The 21,952-nt window shown below is 38.7% G+C and overlaps 1 protein-coding gene across 15 annotated transcripts in view; it reads left to right on the top strand.

The window, feature by feature from the left end:
* SPAG17 (sperm associated antigen 17) overlaps positions 1 to 21,952 on the top strand; it is a 231,639-nt gene that overhangs the window by 189,350 nt on the left and 20,337 nt on the right. For 14 of the 15 annotated variants that reach the window (XR_946574.2, XM_006710427.4, XM_006710426.4 and 11 more), the window contains 9 exons: positions 1,349 to 1,473; positions 3,231 to 3,413; positions 4,351 to 4,464; positions 4,973 to 5,018; positions 7,675 to 7,774; positions 7,998 to 8,045; positions 11,097 to 11,196; positions 11,966 to 12,068; positions 14,478 to 14,609. Coding sequence is in view for 14 of the 15 variants with exons in the window: in XM_006710427.4 (XP_006710490.1) it covers positions 1,349 to 1,473; positions 3,231 to 3,413; positions 4,351 to 4,464; positions 4,973 to 5,018; positions 7,675 to 7,774; positions 7,998 to 8,045; positions 11,097 to 11,196; positions 11,966 to 12,068; positions 14,478 to 14,609 (951 nt within the window). In the remaining variant the exon portion in view is untranslated. The remainder of the gene's footprint in view (positions 1 to 1,348; positions 1,474 to 3,230; positions 3,414 to 4,350; positions 4,465 to 4,972; positions 5,019 to 7,674; positions 7,775 to 7,997; positions 8,046 to 11,096; positions 11,197 to 11,965; positions 12,069 to 14,477; positions 14,610 to 21,952) is intronic. The other variant, XM_011540934.2, reaches the window with a different exon arrangement.

The following is a 21,952-nucleotide window of genomic DNA, read 5'->3' as shown; positions in this document are numbered from 1 at the left end:
CAAAGAAATTGGTGTTTGCCAGAGGTTAGAGATACATAAAACATTAAGTAAGAACCATCCAGTATATGTAATATGTGTATTTAAATATAGATATTAGCCTACATATTATCTGTGTACAAAACCTATGTGCTGTGCCTAGGTTTGTGTGTGTGTGTGTGTGTGTGTGTGTGTGTGTGTGTGTGTTATTTCATCTTTTTTCTGTGTTTTGGGATACATTTTGTGTGCATTTATAAATATGCCTGCATTTCTGTGCCCTTATAACTTTTAGTTTATCAATGCACATGTGCATGACATTAATACACCTTGCTCTTTGTGAATATGGAATATGGGGGACTCTGACTGACCCCCAGTCAGTGTGGTGCATGTATGGAACTGTGGGAGAATAAGAATTCATCTCACATTGGTTTGTTAGTCATTTAACTAACCTCTATTTGGCAAACCACCATGTACTAAACACTGGCTGGGTGTTAGGAATACAATGGTGAACTAAAACAGGCATGGACCCTGTTTCAGTGGAGCTCTTAGGTTACTGGGAGAGATAGATGTTAACTATAAAGTCACACAACTGTATGATTATAAGTTGGGATAAGGTCTCCGAGGGGAAAGAACATAGTTCTATGAGAGAATCTAACAGAAGAAACTGACATAGTCAAGAAGGCTTCCCTGAAGACACCTGAGCCAAGAGCTAGTGGGTAGGTAATGGTTAATTAAGGTAAGAGAGAGAGCTTTTTTGGAAAAGAAAACATAAAGGAGAAAGCATAAAGCATTGGAAAACACGGGTTGGGGGAAAGGCCAAAGTAGCTGAAGCACAGAGGGGAAGAATAGTACAAGTTGAGGTAGAGGCAAAAGAATGTTAAGGACCATCTTTTATCTCATGAGCGATGTGAAGGCAAAAAAGAGTTTTCATCATGGACTAACATAATCAGTCACCCTGACTGCAAGGGAAGGTTCATTCACAGAGTATATATAGGTGGCAAAACCAGTTGTTGCTGTAGTCTAGAGCAGGATCTTTTTGAGGCACATAAAGTAGGGTTCACAGAGAGGGAAAAAGATGGACTCAACAAGTTTATTGGGAGAACTGACAGAACTTGTATGTGGTTGGTGAGGGACGATGAGGTGTCAATGAATACTTCCAGGTGATCTAAATCTAGTCTCTAGGTGTCACAGTGCCTAAAAGCTTCATCCTTCTTATTTGATTGTAAGGTTCCTAAGTATAGTCATTGTGTCTCATTAGTCTTTCATGTCTAAGTCTGTTCAAAAAGAGCTTGTTGAATTTAGTCAATGCGTTTTCATTTTCTCTGAGTACTTTCAATGGGTAATGGTCTTCTGACAACTTTCTTTGAACCAGGCACCCTAACCATCACAGTCCTTCGCCCTTTCCATGAAGCATCACCATGGCAAGTAAAAAAGGAAGATACAATTGTCCCTCCTAATCTCCGGTCAAGGTCATGGGAAACATTTCCCTCAGTTGAGGTATATAATTTCTTCTAAAAAGTCATTTTATTAGCGTATACATCCATCCAAGGGCAATGGACCAGAGTCTTAAGTCTTCTCCCATATATTCATATATTTTCATTCTTATGTAAATTTTTAATGTGCTCAAGGAGTTTTATATTTGAAGATTCTAACATTTGTAGATGTGGCAACAACATTTCAGAGGAATACTCCTGGCTAGCTCATTTCAGTTTTATTTCTTTTATCCTGTATTGCAGGCTTGAACATCTTCCTATAATATGCAAACATTCTTTCTGAGTAAGCCAGGTTACACCTCTGTCATGGAATTACTGATATTATATCATACAGAAATCTTTCCTTCTATCATTTCTTATTTGTTAATTTTAACACACAATTTTGTGCCTTTTACTCTCCCTTTTTTTCTTCATATATTAAAAATGCACGAACTGACCATCTAAGAACAATATGAAGGATTTTACGCACATTTGCAATTGCAGTGTTAGAAAGTAAACATTGTAATTATGTCAGTTAAGAGAAGCTCCAGCTAAATTTTTTAAAAAAATAAAATATCTTGGGTAAGAATCAATGAAGTCCTGCATCTTGCATAATTTACCATTTCATTTTACAAGCAATTTATGTCACATGTCCAACATATTGTCAGGTGTTAAATAATTAAATCAGTGAAGCTATTGATGGTATGATCAGAGATTGATAGTAGTGTTAATTGAGATAATGTTTTTGATTGTCATCATTTTTGCTGTCCTACACTAAACCTTGTAATAGCAAACACAAATGATGAACATTTAAGATTACAATGACCTCCTAGCCCTGTGGTTAAATTTGGTGACTATAGTCAACATGGTAATATGAAGGTGACTTGAATTCTGGTCCTGATTCTACCCCTTATTAAAGTGGGATCTTGGACAAGTCACACTGGGTCTCCATTTCCTTCTCTGAAAATGAGGAGGTCACACCAAATGGCACACTAAGGCTATATCCAAATTTTAAGTACTACATGATGACAAAGGGTATGCCACATCTAAGATTATTGAAGGAAGTTTATTCTCATCCTCTGAAACCCTTATGCTCTGACCTTCTACATCTGGTAGGAGTGGCACAGGCCTGCAAAGCCCCTAAGTGGCTGTCACAGGCCAGGCCTTTTGAAATGAAGCACATCCAGCACACCTGAGAACATAGTAGGGCAGCAAAGCACACTATTCCTGAAAATCGATCACAAGTATAACATATAATGTGAGTTTACTCTAAGGTAGATTTTTCTGCCCCAGGGATCCTCAGACTCTGGAGGCATGCTTAGTCTAGATTAAGCTCAAAGATGGCCCAGATCTATGGAATTATTTCTCTTGCAAAGAATCTTTCTAGGTCAAAATCAACACAGAACCAGAAAGTGAAAGACTGCTCAGTTCCAAATGTCTTCAGCTACTTGTGGATACTAAGAAATAGCCACATCCATTTGTCATAAGCTAGGCTGCTATTACATTGCTTAGCACTCTTCTACATCCTACCCAGGACACCATGCAACAGGATTTTTAAATATCCAGTATCTTAGTAACATAAATAAAGAGGAAAGCAGGCCCAGTTCTGTTATCGATTTTCCTTATATTTGCAGAACTTTTTGAGGTTAAGGATTTTTTTTCACCACTGTGTCCCTAAAAAGTTATTATGATATCTATGTAATAAATGAACAGTTAAAAAAAATTTGAATGTGAAAACATTCTGATTTCTTTGGTGGTGTTATTGCTTTGTTTTGTTAACAGAAAAAAACTCCAGGACCTCCGTTTGGTACTCAGATTTGGAAAGGCCTTTGCATTGAGTCCAAACAGCTAGTGAGTGCCCCGGGTGCCATACTCAAGAGCCCCAGTGTGCTACAGATGCGCCAATTCATTCAGCATGAGGTCATAAAGAATGAGGTGAAACTGAGGCTGCAGGTTTCCCTTAAGGTAATGGAATCTAGGTGACCTGACCCAAAAGAATCAGAAACAGAGCAATCATTGCTTTTGGTTTCCTAAGAAACCTGAAATTATGTAATTCTACCAATATTTGTCTAGTGCAACACAAGGATGTCAGTCTTTCAGAGTAGAGGGTTGAGAGGTAGAAAATATTTAATGGTTCCCATAAGGTGTAGAAATTATTAAGAAGCCCCAAAGACATTGAAAAAGTAAGAATTTTTTGTAAATGATTACTATATAGTGCCCTCCATCTTTGTCACTGTATAGAAAACTGATATAGTGACCACTGGAAAAAGACAGAACTACATATTAATATATTTGTCCACAGAGTAAAAGCCTTTGGAAGCGGTCTAAGAATTTGTAAATATATAGTTAATTGTATGATCATGTCTATAACATCTCAAGTTTGTTAACTCCCTCAGTACAGGGATTATATGTGTTTTGTTTATGGTTATATACCTAGCACCTGGCACAGAGCAGGGTATTATTAGTTATAGAAATTGATCAAATACTTATGAAAAAAATAAAGTACGTTTCTCTTCGAAGCAAAGACATGAACTAGGCAAATTCCATTTACAGGTAAAATAAAAAAACTATACCTGAAAGGATCCTACACATCATCTAACCCAATTCTGTCCATTTTATTGATGAGGACACTTAAGTGCACAGTTAGAAACAGGGCCTCTCTGAGGCCCCCATGCAGTTCTATCCTGTGGCCCTTAAAGCTTTGCTTTTGCACTTCTCAGGTTTTTCCTATTAACATATTAAGAAAAAGTCTTTTCAGGTTGTTTGACTAGTAAACAGTTGTTGAGCACTGTAAACCTATATATTCTTCATTTTTTGTAATATTTCAAGTTGATGACCATTTTTGTATCTCTCTCTTCCTAATTCCTAGTTTTTGTCTATGTATTTTATTCTGCTGATTTAGGATTACATAAACTATATTCTAAAGAAAGAAGATGAGCTGCAGGAAATGATGGTTAAAGATTCCAGAACTGAGGAGGAGAGAGGCAATGCTGCTGATCTCCTCAAGCTGGTTATGGTGAGAAAATGCCTTGTATACCCATGTTCTTACTATTGTTTCAATATTAAATGTTTCAGGACAAAATATCGTAAGAAATAGCTGCTTCTGCCACTTCCATGAAGCATTTGCTCCCTCCTCATAATTTTCAATTTTTGTGGAAATCCATTTGTCTATATATTGCATTTTCCAAATACATTTTAGGCTCTTCATAAATAATTCACAAGGCCCTTAAATGAAACTTTTATTGTCTTCAAAAGAAATTGATATTTATTGAAATGCTGAATGAACTAATGAATGAAATAGGAAAGAAGAAGAAAAAGGAATTTTTACAAGTTAAAATCATTTCCATTTTTAGACATTAGTGAAGTAGAAAGAATGACCTAGAAAAATTAATTTTATATCAGTATTTTTAAACTAATTCATTTTATAGTAGTTTTTACAAAAGATCAGCTTGAGAGAATGTTTCTAAACAAAGTAAGTCTTGTAAGTAATATAATCATCATAAGTAATTCTATCTTCATTTCAGTCTTTCCCTAAAATGGAGGAAACTACAAAAAGTCATGTTACTGAAGGTAAGTTGCATTTAATATTCTTCTGCAGTATATTTACAAGTTTCAAAGGAATCATCTTAAATACACTTATCGGTCATTCTCTTATCTGATAACAAGACACCATGTACATATCTCCATTCTTGTATCGGCCATGTTGTGTTGTGGTGGTTTATATTTGTAAGTCATTCTGCCTGTATTGTTCTGCCTGAGCTTTGACATCCTAGAAAACCATGATTTTCTCTCATTCATCTTTAACTTTCATCCATTAAGTGAAAAATGTTGACATTTGACTTTTATGTTAGCCTCAACTATAATGAAGATATAGGAAGGAAACAGTCAACCAACCAACAGCCTGCCCTCCCACACACAAAATTTTTGAGCAACTACACTGTTATAACCAAAACTTTGCACTGTTTTACACTGTATGTAGTGCAAGTAGTTTACTCTTAGATCTCATTCAAAGAATATTCATTTGGAGGTATATATACACAGCCCTAACAAATGTGGTTAGATGGTTTCATAGCTCACAGCAAACAAGCAGTAGGAATTTGGTGCGTTTTTGTTTTGTTTTGTTGGCGATATGGCAAAGATCATAAACTGGCAGCCATGCGCTTCATTCAGCCCACAGATAGGTTCTGAGTATCCTCCACAGTGTGGGCTTGTACAGTTGTTTTTATTGTTGTTGTTGTTTATCCAGATTTTTCTCCTCTTGAAATCTCACATTATTACATAGTAAATTTGGCTGAAGATAATTGACAGCTGCTTCTTTAGAATGACCATCACAGGAGTCCATCACAACCCCCTATGTCTCCGTGTCCCTATACTCTGTGGTCACCCTTTTACCCTGGGCAACTCCTGTAGTAGGGTGGCCAGATTTAGTGAATAAAAATAAAGAAGGCCTAGTTAAATTTTAGATGAATGACAAATAATTTTTTTTAGTATAAGTACACTATAGTTTGGATGTTTGACCCCTTTAAATCGCATGTTGAAATTTGATCCCCAGGCCCGGCCTGGTGGCTCTTGCCTGTAATCCTAGCACTTCGGGAGGCCAAAGTGGGTGGTTCTCTTGAGCCCAGGTGTTGGAGACCAGCCTGGGCAACATGGCGAAACCCCATCTCTATGGAAAATACAAAAAAAAATTAGTCAGGTGTAGTGGTGCATGCCTGTGGTCCCAACTACTCTGGAGACTGAGGTGGGAGGATAGCTTTCGCCTGGTAGGTGATGGTTGCAATGAGCAGAGATCATGCCACTGTACTCCAGCCTGTGCAACAGAGCAAGACCCTGTCTCAAAAAATAGAAAAGAAAAGAAATTTGATCCCCAATGTTGGAGGGAGGAGGGGCCTAATGGGAGGTGTTTGGGTCATGGGGGTGGATCCCTCATGAATGGCTTGGTACCTTCTGTCCTCTTGGTGGTGAGTGAATTCCCACTCTATTAGTTGCCATGAGAGCTGGTTGGTAAAATGAGTCTGGCATCACCCCTCTCTCTGTTGCTTCCTTTTTCGTTATGTGATCTCTATACATGCCGGCTCCCCTTCCCCCATTTCCATGAGTGGAAGTAGCCTAAGGTCCTCACCAGAAGCAGATGACCGCACCATGCTTCTTGCACAGCCTGCAGAATTGTGAGCCAAAGAAACCTCTTTTCTTTATGAATTACACAGCCTCAGGTACTATTTTATAGCAACACAAAGCAGGCTGAGACACAGTGTGTCCCCAGAAGCCTGGGATATACTTATAATAAAAAGTTGTTTGTTTATTTGAAATTCAAATTTAACCAGGGGCCCTATACTTTATCTGGCAACGCTACCCTGTAGCTTTTGAATTTTTAACCTCTGGGACAAGGAACAGGCACAACAAAGGAAAACACATAGGTTTTCCAAAAGTGAAATACAAACTAACGTATTTTTTTAAACAAACAGTTCCAGGAAATAAACAGCTGTTGCATACCTGACATGTTAATTAAAATGATCCTAAATCAATATTTTCCCATAGTATTTCCTAAAACACTCATCTATGAGAAGACTCCACCAAAAATGAGTTTCATATTAAAATAAGTTTGGATAATGCTTCATATTGTCTTATTTTCTTAGTGAGTCACAATGACGTTAATTAATTAAAGATGCGGAAAAGTAGTGAAACCTATTTAACCTTGGATAAATCAGTGTTTCCCAAGCTCATATAACCGTGAAACATGAAAATCTTTTCCTCTTTTTAATCTCCCATTGACATCCCACCAAGAGCGTGTTTTGTGAATAAACTGAGAATCGCTGCCTAAATTGTTGAACAACCATTGTCTTATAATCATGTTCTTAGATTCGGGAACAGGAAAATATCCAGAAAAACAATTTCAATGTTATGGTTAATTTGTTTTAAGGTTTGCTGCTTCAGATATGAGGAAATTCAGTTAAGTAGAACACCACTTCCCCTAATAATATGGGATAAATGAGATATCACTGCATTTTACATTTTGACTATAAGTTGTGTGTTTTCTAGTAGGATATTTCATAAAAGTAGTCTAGTTTTCTGTTGTATTACAGCTTGGTCATGTAAGTCCTAGTAAACACTTGATAGATTAACTATATAGGCTCTTAACAGGCATCTCAAATGAGTAATTGTGTACTGATTGTGTGTTGCCCTATAAAGAAGTGGGGATAAAAGTTAAATACATCTATGTTTAAAGTTGCAGCTCACCTAACTGATTTATTCAAGCAGTCTTTGGCTACGCCTCCAAAATGCCCACCAGACACATTTGGTAAAGATTTCTTTGAAAAGACATGGAGGTAAGCTAATCCAATAATGTGTTCTAATTAGTATTAGGTATGCAGTGATTGAGGAAATGGAATATGCAGGTGCTATAACTTTTGGTGACTACATCAATGAATTCACAGCCCTTCATCTCCCATACTATTAATAATTCATCATATAGTGGTGAGGGTTTTTGGTTTTGTTTTTAAGCTGAAATCATTGCCCCTTTTCACCATACTTTCCTTTCCTTTCACATAGACACACAGCATCCTCAAAACGCTGGAAAGAAAAGATAGACAAAACGAGGTAATTATACCCCAAAACGCACATAAGGACCTGAAAGGGCCCAGAGTAATAGACTGAGAATGGGATAGGCCAAAATGTCCTGCCAGGCACCCAGATGTTATTTGATTCTCTTCTGCAACATGTCTACCAAGTGGTCATTCAGCTCTGTGTGATGACATCACTGTCTCTTGAGGAAACCCATTTGACCATTAGATAGATCCTCTTCCTCTCCTAAGCAAGAAAGCTCTCTAGGCCCTCAATGTGCTTTAGGTGATTCTGATATACTAATAAATATTCTGGAACTTAATGCAGAACACAGTCATAAACTTTCAAGGTTCTTATAATTCACAGGAGGAATGTGCTCTAAGCATTATATGGTTTGGTTTCCTTTTAGTCCTAGCTGGGGATTTCAACTCCAGCTGTCTTGTCAAAGAGAAAAGAAGCCAGATATATTTGTTGACTATGTAGCAGTACTCATGAAACTATCTATTGTACACATTTGCATGGCTTCTCTTCAGGATAACTTCAGGATTAATATGTTTCTTCATAAAAATGTCAGGGTTGTCTTGTGAAATGTGTTAGGGGAGTGCTGAGATAAGACTTTAAGCCTCATGGGTCACCTCCCCTATACAAGGTCAAACTAGAAGGGATATACTGTCTGCAGGGAGGATAGCTTAAGTTTTGCGTGACATGACAGTCTTTATAAGGAAATGAAGACCCAAATAAATGGCTAAACCTGAGTGTCTTTATGCTAGGTTTGATGAAGAATGGACACTCATGGAGAAATATGATAGGGCAAAAAAGCACAATCTAATGGTAATAAGCTGGGGGGCTATAGCAAGGTCTGTTGCTCAGATTCCTCTCTGTGCATCTGTGTCTTCAGAGATAAGGATGCTCCTTTCCTGTGGGTATTTCAAGGGCACCTCTCATGAGAGAGTCTTATGAGCTGCTTCAGGGGAAGGTCAGAAAATCCTTTCTAGGTTTTATGTCCTGCTTCAGGGAAGAAGAGCAGAGGGAAGGTGAGAGTAAATTTCCTGTTTCTGCCATTTTCTCAAATTCCTTCAGCTGAAAATATTCAGTGTGTCAAGGTGCCATATTTTAAGGTAGTGTTCCCTGAAGCACATTATTTTCAGAATATCCCTAAAGGCTTCTCCAAGAGACAGTGATTGCCTGAGAGGAAGGAGATTGAGAGATGGGGTATAGGATGAGATGGAGACTTCATTATTACATACTCTTGAGTGTTCTTTAAACTGTGTACATATGCCTGTATTATCTATACAAACTTTTTAAATTTTGAAACATTAACAATTTCAAGTTTTAACTTATAGGTATATAATGGCAAGCCAGTGAAAGTTTTTTGAAGAAGAGTGAAACATATAATTAGATGAGTGTCACAGAAATACAAGTGTTGGCAATGTGGAAAATGAACTGGGTCAAGGAAAGAGAAAGTTTCAAGGAAATAGAAGCTGGTCAGCAAATGTCAGATGCTGTAGAAAAATCAGAAATGGGAATGAAAAAAGGAATTTGAGTTTATCAGTTACAAGGTTGATTAGTTTCTTTTGTGAGAATAATTTTAAGAGAGTGGTGGGCAGCAGCCAGACTGCCGTAGATCGATGAGTGAATCCAGTGAGGCAGTAGAGATAAGAAACTTTTAATGGGAAGTGAAAGTTGTTTAAGTAAGTTTGTATTTTGGTCATGCCTGTCTGATATTTCCAGACAGGTCAACTAGTATAAGAGCACTGGTCACAGATCCAGTCAGTTACAATTTGATTACTTACAGAACGTATGATGCTGGCTGGTTGTTTCACTTCAGTAACATTTACTTCAGGAGTTCAGTTTGCTCATCAATAAACTGAGGCTAATTGGACTGCCAAATATCTAAGGTCTCTTTTAGCTCTCACACTGGGGGACTGACGGCTGACTAGCATGTGCAGTTGTCAAGACCATGGGTTTGGAGGCAAGCAACCTGGGTTTTAATTTAGATTCCACCCTTTATTGGTAATGTGATTTGGAATAGGTTACTTAACCTCTCTATGCTTTGGTTTTTCAACTCATAAAGTGAGGATAAAAATAGTAACTCACAGGGTTATTGTAAGATTAAATGTAAAATATTTTGCAAAACTTAAGTTTTTTAGTGCAATAAGCACTTAAAAATGAAAAGTATTTCAGGGAGGATTGAGTTCAGCTACATTTAACAGAAAACCTCCAAATCAGTGCTTGTATTAAAAAGGGGCTTATTTTCCTAACGTGAAAAAAGTCAGAGGTGGGCAGTTGATGGTAGGAAGCACCACAACATCATCAGGAATTCAGATTCCTTCTTTTTATCTGTTCCATCATTCTTAGTACATCATTTCCATGCTCAAGCTTACTTCATAGTTGCAAAATGATTGCTGCAGCCCCAGCCATTACATTCATATTTCAGGAAGTAGGGAAAGACATGAGGCAAGGACCAGGAAAAGTTTCCCAGTTGAGTCAGCCCTCTTTAAAAGCTCCTGGACTCTTACCCAATGACTTAAGTTTACATCTCATTGGCTTTCCCTATATAATGTCTCCCCAACATAGGGGTTCTGGTATTGGAAAGCAGTACTATCCTGATTGCTTTTCTTTAACTCTATAACCACTGACCACATTATTCACAAATCATGCCTCAAGTTTTTGTTTTTGGTTTGTTTGGGTTTTTTTGTTACTACTGCTACAGAAATTATGAAAACCAGTAGACTCTAGCTGTCATTTCAACCTCAGAGAATTGAAAAACCTCAAAAAGTTTAACCATTACAGGGCTATGTGGTTTTTAGCCTTTTGAGATCAACTACAAAATCAAACTAACACCTGGTATCATTATTTCTTATCTTACATGAGAGTCTGATTTTTGAAGTAGGAAATGTGAGTGATTCTAAAAGAAGAGAAAATTAACCAAAACAAGTTGACAAAAATATCTAATAAATTAATTCTTGTCAGTTTTATTGTTAGTGATTGCATTCATTTTTGTGGGATTTAGAGCTAAAGCACAAACAAACAACACTTTAAAATATTCTATGTCTTCTTTTGCATCATCATGGAAACATCAACCAGGAAGGAAATTGAGACAACACAGAATTACCTAATGGATATTAAGAACCGCATAATACCACCCTTTTTTAAATCTGAATTGAACCAGTTATATCAGTCTCAGGTAATTGAATATAATGAACTATAATCTAATAAAAGTTTTTATAAATTTGGTATATTGCATATGTTATTATGTAATCTGTCTTTCCTGATGCTGTTTAATTCTTTCCTGCATCGACCTGGCTGACTAACCTGTACCCTTCAAATCCATATTCTCACAAGCATGTGATAAGGAAGACTAATTTCAGGCCTTGCACCTAAGTAGAAGTTCTCTGCAATGTATAACTATCACTACCCCATCCTGCCTTTCAGTCTCACTATTACTTACCCTCTCCCATCTATGTTAAGCCTTTTTAGGCAGAATCTTTCCTATCATTGATTGTCCTCTGATAACCCATTTTGAAGTTTTTATTCAGTTAAAATTTCCTCACCCATCAGCTGCTAAGATAGCACTAAGAGATTGTGAGTTCTTGGAAGCTCAGGGAGGGAGAACGCTCTTCTCCTGTTCTATTTCAGCCTACCTGTAGGACCACAGCCCCGACCTTCCCATCACTGGCCAAAAGTTCATTAAAACCCTGAAGCAAAGCGAATATTTTCATATGTTCAGAACGCCCTGCATTTCTATGAAAATTTCAGAAGAAATTACAGGAAATTATGACTAGTTAACAAAAGCTAGAATTGGGTTAATCAGTCTCTTGTAGAATTTTAGTTTGTAAACTTTATTTTCAGGGCATTAAAAATATGTTTTCATTATTGCTTATTAATTTAACATATTTGCGACAGTTGAATTTCAGCCATGTATAAGTCTAAAATAAGTTTTTTTTTCCTTTCAGTATAATCACCTGGACAGTCTTTCCAAAAAACTGCCTTCTTTTACAAAGAAAAATGAAGATGCAAACGAAACAGCTGTTCAAGATACATCTGATCTTAATCTAGGTAATATGTTAGCATAGCACATATTCCTATTAAATGTCCGTAACTGAATAATACCTAACAGTGGCCTCTTAGGACATAACCAGTGATAGCTGATGACATAGCCTACAGTGACCTGCATATGACAGATCTGGCTGAGTTATATGAGAAAACAAATATGTAAATAACATTTAGTTTTCATCCTGTATGCTTAAAATTGGCCTAAATGCATTTAGGAGACCTGACTAATTTAAAAAGCAAGGAAGTAATGAAAGTTCACTGGGGAACAAGACATTCATAAGGTCTCAAAATATCAACCCACATATTACTTACAAATTATAAGGAGGAAAATGTATCTTTACAATGGAGACATTCAGCATTTTCTACCTTAACTAAGTCATCAAACTCCTACCAACAATGAGACAACCTAGCAGTAAGTGAGTTCTCATGTAATGCAACACAAAGTGCATAGATCCTTGATATGGTTTGGTTTTGTCCCCACCCAAATCTCGTCTTGAATTCCCATGTATTGTGGGAGGTACCTGGTGGGAGGTAATTGAATCATGGGGGCAGGTCTTTCCCGTGCTGTTCTCGTGATAGTGAATAAGTTTCATGAGATCTGATGGGTTTATAAGGGGCAGTTCCCCTGCACAAGCTCGCTCTCTATTTTCCTGCTGCCATTTATGTAAGACATGACTTGCTTCTCCTTGCCTTCCACCATGATTGTGAGGCCTCCCCAGCTATGTGGAACTGTGAGTCCATTAAACCTTTTTCCTGTAGACATGCCCAGTCTTGGATATGTCTTTATAAGCAATGTGAAAACCGACTAATACAATCCTATAGAGAATTCTTGCCAAAAATCCTTATCCAGAATCTAATCAAGAGGAAACAGAGAAAAATGTCTACCAAAATGCAGACATTCTATAAGACGACCAGCCCAGCCTCTTCAAAAATCAATGTCATTAAAACAAAAAAGATGGGATGATTGTTCTAAACTAAAACAGACTAAAGTGATATAAAAACTGAATGTGAAACCTAAGCTTTGATTGGATGCTTGATTGAGGAAAAAACAGCTATAAAAGATATTTTGGAGAAACTGCACAAGTTTGATTAGGAGACTATGTAAGAGAGGACATTGTTAAATTACTGTTAATTTCTTGGGTATGATGATGGTGCTGTGAATATGTAGGAGAATGTCTTCATTCTCAGGAACTGCATGCTGAAGAATTTAGGGATGAAATAAAATGTAGTGTTTCTCTCTAGTAAACTGAGTAGTTAAAATACCCAGATAGGGGGCCGGGCACGGTGGCTCACGCCTGTAATCCCAGCACTTTAGGAGGCCAAAGCGGGTGGATCACGAGGTCAGGAGATCGAGACCATCCTGGCTAACACGGTGAAACCCCGTCTCTACTAAAAATACAAAAAATTAGCCAGGCGTGGTGGCGGGTGCCTGTAGTCCCAACTACTAGGGAGGCTAAGGCAGGAGAATGGCGTGGACCCAGGAGGTGGAGCTTGCAGTGAGCTGACATCGTGCCACTGCACTCCAGCCTGGGCGACAGAGCAAGACTCCGTCTCAAAAAAAAAAAAAAAAAATAAGCAGATAGAGGAATTTTCTACTGTACCATACGATACTTGAAGTTCAGCTGTCTATAATGAACGCATACAATAGAAATATCTAATTATGACAGAGTTGGTAAACCAAAGATTAAGGCTGGAACAATGACTTATAAATGTGATGGGGAGAAATCAGGGATCAGAAATTGGTGGCTATTAGGTTGCGTCTCAGACCTCCTGCAGCCTGGGCAGTCAGCACTAACCAAACACTGCTTATTCTCCTCTTGAAATGGAGTGAGACTGCGGAAGTCTTTTCAGCACAGTACTTGAGGCAACCAGGACTATTCAACCAGGGTTGGCACACACACAAACTGAAATGTATTTGCCTCCTCAATCCTAGATAAATTTCTTTAAAATTTGTTTCCTATTGTACCTATTTCTTAAAGAGATACATTTAACAAAGAGCTACGTTTTCACAGTAATGAATGAATTTAAGTTTGGAAATTTCTGAAAAAAGATAACATCTCAGTTGCCGTTACCAGGTAAAAGTAGAAACAAATTACTTGGCCTCTTCTACATAACACAACAAGGTGACAACTCTACTATTTAGTCATAATGCCCATAAAGAACCAGCTAGCTCCTAGGGAGTACAAACTTTGCAAATACTTTACTGTTTGTTAATGGCAAACATTATATCATATTTTAAGAATCCCTGCCTCTTAATGGCTTTCTTATATTTAGTCTTTCTAAAGAGAGTGGCAGAAAAGGTACCTCATTCATTGTAAAACACCTTCTTCAATGTTTGTTCATGCAAACATTAGTAGTCATTATATCATTTTACAAAATATCACTTTATAAGGTTCATTTTGGGTTTTCTAGATTTCAAGCCACATAAGGTTTCAGAACAGAAATCCTCAAGTGTGCCTAGTCTTCCAAAACCAGAGATTTCTGCAGATAAGAAGGATTTCACTGCTCAGAACCAAACTGAAAATTTAACAAAATCTCCTGAAGGTATGGCAGTCTTTTTTATCTTATTGCTTCTTGAAACTGAACATTATGTCTTTTTGGCATATGGGAGATGGCGCTAGGAGGCGAGGTTGAGAGTTACAGAAAAAAATCGAGAGGGTCACGGATCCTGGAGCTATGCAGCTTTGCAAAGGCTTCTTAGCACATCGAAGTATCTCAAATAACATTTTTGAGAATGACTGCAAGTTCCAGACTGAAGGAAAGAAATACAAAGAAATCCTTTTTTGATGTTATTTTATTTCATTTTTACCTAATTTTATCCCTTTTAGTTCTCTGAGAACTTGTATGATTTATTGAAGATCAGATGACACTGATAGCTTTTCTTGAGTAACCAGAAATTTGGTACTTAGATTTACCTGTTATCTCAGTACTTTCTTGGTCCTGCAGGTGCTAGAAGAAAAATGTAAGATGTAGTCTCTATCTTACATAGCACATAATCTTATTGGACTAGCAGAAATTGAAATATAAAATAATACAGGATAATATCTAGTTACAGTGGAGTCACATTATGCTAATTTCGCTAAGATAATTCAACTAAATATAGTTGATCACAAAAGAGAGATAGAGAGACTAATTTGCATTGTGTAGATGATTTTGCCACCACTTGGTTCCTGTGGGCATGTTCCATGCTGAATGTGAGATGGGAATCTACTGATGGGTTTCAGTTATCTCTTATAGAGCAAGTATTTTGCCACATTTAAGTGTGAATTAAAAGATTTACCTGGCCAGGCACTGTGGCTCATGCCTGTAATCCCAGCACTTTAAGAGGCTGAGGTGGGCAGATCACTTGAGGTCGGGAGTGCAAGACCAGACTGGCCAATATGGTGAAACCCTGTATCTACTAAAAATACAAAAATTAGCTGGGCATGGTGGCGCTTGCCTGTAATGCTAGCTACCGAGGAGCCTGAGGCAGGAGAATCGCTTGAACCTGGGAGGCAGAGGTTGCAGTGGGCTGAGATCATGCCACTGCACTCCAGCCTAGGCAACAGAGCGAGACTCCATCCCAAAAAAAGAAAAGAAAAGAAAAAAGAAAAAAAAGATTTACCCCATACAAGACTTTTGTGTTTCTGACTTAAACTTCTCTCCTACAAGTTTTATTCATTCAGTGGATAATTACTCAATGCCTACTGTGTGCTAGGCATTGTTCTAGGCATGGATATACAATAGTAATGAGGGCACAGTCTGATGGAGCTAGACCCCTCCCATATCTGATGGAGCTAGACCCCTCCCATATTATGGGCAAACCTAGACAATATGTAAACAAATAAATAAGTCAGATAAATTCAGGTTGTAATAAATATTATGACATAATAAAACAGTACAATGTATGGACAGTGACTTGGGGAGAGGGGCAACATTCCATTAGGAGATTAGAAGGCCTCATTGTAAAAAAATAGTTGAGTTGAGACAAGTATAAGAAGGAGTCAGCCCTGCAAAGATTAGGAGAGCAATAGTTCATGTAGTAAGAATAGCAGGTAAGAAGTTCCTGAGGGGCAGAAACATTAAGGAGGCATGTAGCTAGAACAAATTGAGCAAAGGAAAAAGTAAAAGAAGATGAGGTCAGAGAGTGGGGCAGAGATTAGATCATGTAGTACTTCTCAGCGCAGTTTTATTCAAACGTCAGCGGAAGGTTTTGAGCAGGGTAGTTACATGGCTAATTTTTATTTTAAAAAGATCACTCTGTGAGGATAACAGCTCGTGGCAAGGAAAGGGAGGAGTGAGAAAAAGAGCAAGCAAGGAAGAAGCAACTGAAGTGGCACATGCGAGAGTTGCTGAAGACCTGGGCTATGGTGGGCGAAGAGGGAATGGTGAGAAGGAAATTAATAGGAACTATATCATGAGGGTGGAGCCAATAGAATTTGCTGCTCAAGAGGATGCAGGAGTGAGACAAAAAGAGGAATCAAGGATGATTCTTAGGTTAAACTGATTGTGAGGCTGAGAATTTGTAGTTTTGATGAGTTCACAAGTGGTGCTGATGTTGCTGATATAGGTTTATGCCTTGAGAATGGCTGTCCTGAGGCGAACTCTAGAAGGTAAAAGTCAGGCAGAGGAAGAGCTAGTAAAGGCCATTAAGAAGACGCCAGTAGGCCAGGCGCGGTGGCTCATGCCTGTAATCCCAGCACTTTGGAAGGCTGAGGCGGGTGGATCACCTGAGGTCAAGAGTTTGAGACCAGCCTGGCTAACATGCTGAAACCCCGTTTCTACTAAAAATACAAAAAATTAGCCAGGCATGGTGGCATGCACCTGTAATCCCAGCTACTCAGGAGGCTGAGGCAGGAGAATCGCTTGAACCAGGGAGGTAGAGGTTGCAATGAGCTGAGATCACGCCATTGCACTCCAGCTTGGGCAACAAGAGCGAAACTCCGTCTCAAAAAAAAAAAAAAAGAAGAGGAAGAAGCCAGTAAGGTAGCAGAAAAACAGGAGTGTGAAATCACTGAGTGTTTGGAGTGTATCAAATGCCCCTGCAAGGTCAAATGCCCCTCACCCCTGCAAGGTGAGGGAGGAAGATGGGATTGAACAAGATGAAGATCACTGGTGAACTTAACAAGGGCAGTTTCAGAGCATGGAGGGGATTGAAGCCTAAGTGAAGTGGGTAATAGATAGAATAGTGGCAGCACAAATGTACACAGCTTTACCCTAGAGTTTTGCTTAAAAGACTAGAGAAATGGAATTGCATATAAAAGAGGAATATGTAGTCAAGGAAGAGATATTTTTCTAAAGATTAGGCATACTAGAGCCTATTGATTTGCAAATGATGATAATTCCATGCCAGAGAGAACTTGATGATGCCAGAGAAAGAGGCACCTAAGGTGCAAGACCACAAGGTCCTAAAGAAGATGGAAGAACATGGCATCTGGGGAAAAACTTGAGTGACAGAATTAACCTTAGATATGAATAAGGTCACCTTCTCCATAGTGACAGGAGAGAAGAGAGAGAGTAGGGATACATTTGCAGGCAGGTTGATAGGTTTGGTGTGGGGAAGATGGATGAGGGAATTCCTGTCTGATTGCAAAGGAGTGGATATAATGATAGAGCATCAGATCTATTCCAGATAAGCAGGAAAGCAAAACAAGAAGGGAGGGACTGCTTGTGTAAGGTGAAGTGTTGGTGAGAGACCTCAGTGAGGTCAAATAATCGCCTGCTGGATATGACAGAATAATAAGCTAGAAGAATAGGAGGTGGTAATCCAGAAAGGGTACTGGAAACAGATTTTGAAAATGGTAAAATGATCGGGGTTGGCAAGGTAAAAAATGTGGCCATGAGACTCTGTGAGGTGGAAAAGATGAAGAAACGGTGTGATCAAGAATCAGATAAGACAGGGTGTTGGATGGATCATCCAGGTGATGTCATCAGGAAAGATAAAGTGGGAGACCCTCTCAGGTGTTAAAATCACCAGTGAATAAAAGGAATGATCGAGAGTGGTCAGTAAATGACAACCACTTGGAGAAGTAGTAACTAATACAGTCTGATGGCACAAGCTTCAAAGAAACAAAGCTTTGAAGGAGGAAAAATAAATTATTTGAAACACCTACTGCACCCCCAGATACCGAGGTACTTGAGATAAGGGACAATAATATGACTCCACTGTAAATGGAAAATTAAATTTTGATATAAAAAGTTTAAAGAAATTCAGAGTAGGAAGGAATTAACACAAAGCAGTGGAGAAAGCTTTATGGGAGGAATGGTCTTGAAAAATAAACAGAATTTCATAGATTTTAAGATTTAAGAGGTGAATCACCTACAACAACCCTCATTTTACTTAAGGAAACTGAAACCTGGAGAAGTCAAGTGACATCTAAAAATCATACAGCAAATTTGTGACTGAGCTAGGGCTGGAATGAGTTTTAAGACTCTTAATTCTCTATATTATGTTACACTACATTCCTGATGTAGGGAAGAGAAAAGAATATTTATTTTATTAATTTCTTTTTTTGAGAGGGAGTCTTGCTCTGTCGCCCAGGCTAGAGTGCAGTGGCACAATCTTGACTCACTGCAACCTCCACCTCCTGGGTTCAAGCAATTCTCCTGCCTCAGCCTCCTGAGTAGCTGGGATTACAGGCACCCACCATCACACCCAGCTAATTTTTTTTTTTTTTTTGTATTTTTAGTAGAGACGGGGTTTCACTATGTTGGCCAGTCTGGTCTCGAACTCCTGACCTCAGGTGATCTGCCCACCTCGGCCTCCCAAAGTGCTGGAATTACAGGTGTGAGCCACCGTGCCCAGCCTGAATATTTTATTTAAAATAAAATGAATGTGTTCAAAAGCTTGAAGGGAGAAATGAACAGGAAATCAGTGTAAGTAAATAAGAGAGTTTTTATTTGGTAATAATACAAGATGATGTCTGGAAAATACAATAGAGTCAGCTAGAGAAGGTGTGGACTTGCAAAATAAAACATGGGTTCAGTGCTGACTGTGATAATACTGCATGGAAGCACTGCCAAATCCTGTAGTGGCTTAAAACAACCAGTCTGAGGGCCTGTGGATGTCCATGGCAGCTCTGCCCCAGACTGGTACAAACCAGGGCAGTTTACCCTGGGAAAGGTAGTTGTTAACCATTCACCAGCACACCTCCGGCTGCAGGTAATGTTCAGGTGTATTCCAAGAATGCCACACTGTGGGAGCCAAGGAGCCACCACGTCAGGCAAGCCATCCTCACAGCAGAAGGTCAAAGCTCAAGAGAGTCCAGCAGAAGCACATGCTACCCCTCACAGCCTCTGCTCAGCCTGGCACACACTGCCATCCACAGACACATTTGTTGGTTAAAGCAAGTGCCGTAGCCAAGCTCAGAGTCAATGGAGCAGAAATATCTTCCACCTACAGGGAAGCCATCCTCAATGGGGAAATAAATAATTGTGAAGAAATAATCCACCTTCCTCAGCATGGTAACAAGGAACCACTACTGGTTCTTCACTCGGCTCAGGTCCAGCAGTAATATTCAGACGAATGCAATAGTTGGATTGTACCAGTTGTTCAAATACTAAAGGACCTCTGTGTCAGCTGGTAATCAGCCACTGCTCCAAGACCCTCAAGGACTCCCTCCCCCATTATCCTGATCCCTGGAGGGTAGGCTCAGTGGAATAATCATCTGCATGTTTTATGGGAGGCAGTCTAGTATAGAGCAGAGCTAAGAGTACAGGCTCTACCTGGGTTCACATCCGGGCTCCTTGTGTAATAGCTATGTGACACTGGGCACATTATTTAAACCCTTTATCTCTTCCTATTTCTCTTCTGTAAAGGGGAAATAATGCTATATACATCACAGGGCTGTGAGAATTAAATTAGTTAATGTATGTAAAATGCTTAGCACAGTGTCCAGCTCATGATAAACTCCATACCATATTTACTATTAATAATAATAGTATGAGCAACAAATTAGTACTTATTAGACTGATACATGCATACACACAAAGCCGTAGTACACATACGGCAAGGATATGAACAAAAACTATACCAAACTACTGGAATGCTTGCCTCTGCAGAGAATAGTGATCAAAGGGAATAAATACATAAAAACACTGATCACTGAGTTCCATTCCCAGATATTCTGATTCTGTTTTGGTCAGGAATAGGGCTTTACTGGCATGTGCCCTGGAAATCTCTATTCTTCCAAAAGCAGCCCAGCAGACGGTGATTCACGAATGGGCTTGGGACACCCGGAGTAGTAAAAGGAGCATGTTCCTTGTGGTTCCAACACACTTAGGTCCACATTCTAGCCCTGACCCTCATTATAGTTTGTTGGACAAGTTATTTAATCCTCTGATCCTCTGTTTCCCCTTTGGTAAAAACAAACAAACAAGCAAAAAAAACAGAGACACTACTACTATATTAGTTAGGACTTCTCAGTTTACAGCCATGAGAACTAAAACTCAAATTCACTTGAACAACAACAAAAAAGGAAATTTATTGGTGACCAAAAGCAAACCACAGAATAGTGGCTGTGTGACTGTGGTGCTAGCCCAGGGGCATTTGGCTTCAGGTACTCTGGCTTTCCAGGAGAGTATTTGTGTCTGAATGCCTGTTTCTCTCCACATCCCCCCTGCCTCCACCATGACCCATCCCTACTTGTTCCTGTTTGGTTTTATCCTCTCCTACAAAGGACAGGCTATTTCCATGTGGCAGAGATCATGACCATAAAGGCCTAAGATTCTGATTCTTCCAGATCCATAACCTAGTATGCAAGATGGGGTTATCGCTGTCCGCTTCAGTGGAAATATCCAGGGAAGGGCCCTCATTGACTGGGCTTTGCTCCTCATGGTTGGGACCAGGGACGTCCTGGCACCAGATGTGTGTGGCAGGAGTTTGCATAGAGATGGAGGATGGGAAGAATGCTGAGCAGTCCAAGATTATCACTGCCAGAGCCCCCTCATTCCGGTGTAAAAACATGTGTGGCACTCACCTGCAGATCGTGGACACTCAAATATTAGTCCCCTTCCTTTTCCTCTCTTCCTGATTTGAATGCAGGAAAGGATTTTTAACTACCATGATCTAAAATACTATTCTTATTTCCACCTCCTGGATCTGTGGAACAAAGACACACAGCTACTGCTGCATGGATTTCCTACACTTGCTCATTCCCTCATGTAACTGAGGAAAAGAACAACTCACCAAATTTAGTGATCTGAAGATCTAATTTTCTGGCTTAATTTATCTATACTTAATAAACCACTTTTTAAAACTATGAATATAGTAGTAGAATCAAAGAAATGCTTGGGATTTTTTTTTTACTCATTAGTTTTAATAAATCTTTCAGAGTTAATGTTGTATTGTATTATATAATGTTGATTTAATAGAAGGAACCTTGAAGATCTGGGTATAATTCAGTTCATCCTAGACAGGCCACTTGACTTCTTAGAATCTTATTTTTCTCATTTATTAAAAAAAAGATGCTAATAGCATCTGTACTGCCCACCTTATACGGTTGTTGTGAGGACCAGTATTAGGTCATGTATGTAAAATCACTTTCTAAAATGAAAAGGCATAAAATGAGAATTAACAGAAGACTTTTCTCCTTTTAAATAAGCTGTTTACACTAAAAATAGAACTACAATTTGACCCAGCAATTCCATTACTAGATATACACCCACAGAAAAAGAAATTGTTCTATCAAAAAGACACATACACTCACATGTTCACTGCAGTAATGTTCATGATAGCAAAGACACGGAATCAACCTAGGTGCCCATCAATGATGGATTGGATTTTTAAAATGTAGTACGTGTACACCATGAAATACTATGTAGCCATAAAAAAGAATGAAATCATGTTCTTTGCACCAACATGGATGCAGCTGCAAGCCATTATTCTAAGAAGATTAATGACAGAAAAC

The sequence above is a fragment of the Homo sapiens genome, chromosome 1 (assembly GCF_000001405.40).
Source record: "Homo sapiens chromosome 1, GRCh38.p14 Primary Assembly".
Taxonomy (NCBI): Eukaryota; Metazoa; Chordata; class Mammalia; order Primates; family Hominidae; genus Homo; species Homo sapiens.
The sequence above is the reverse complement of the archived record's forward strand: the minus strand, read 5'-3'. Positions and strand labels throughout refer to the sequence as shown.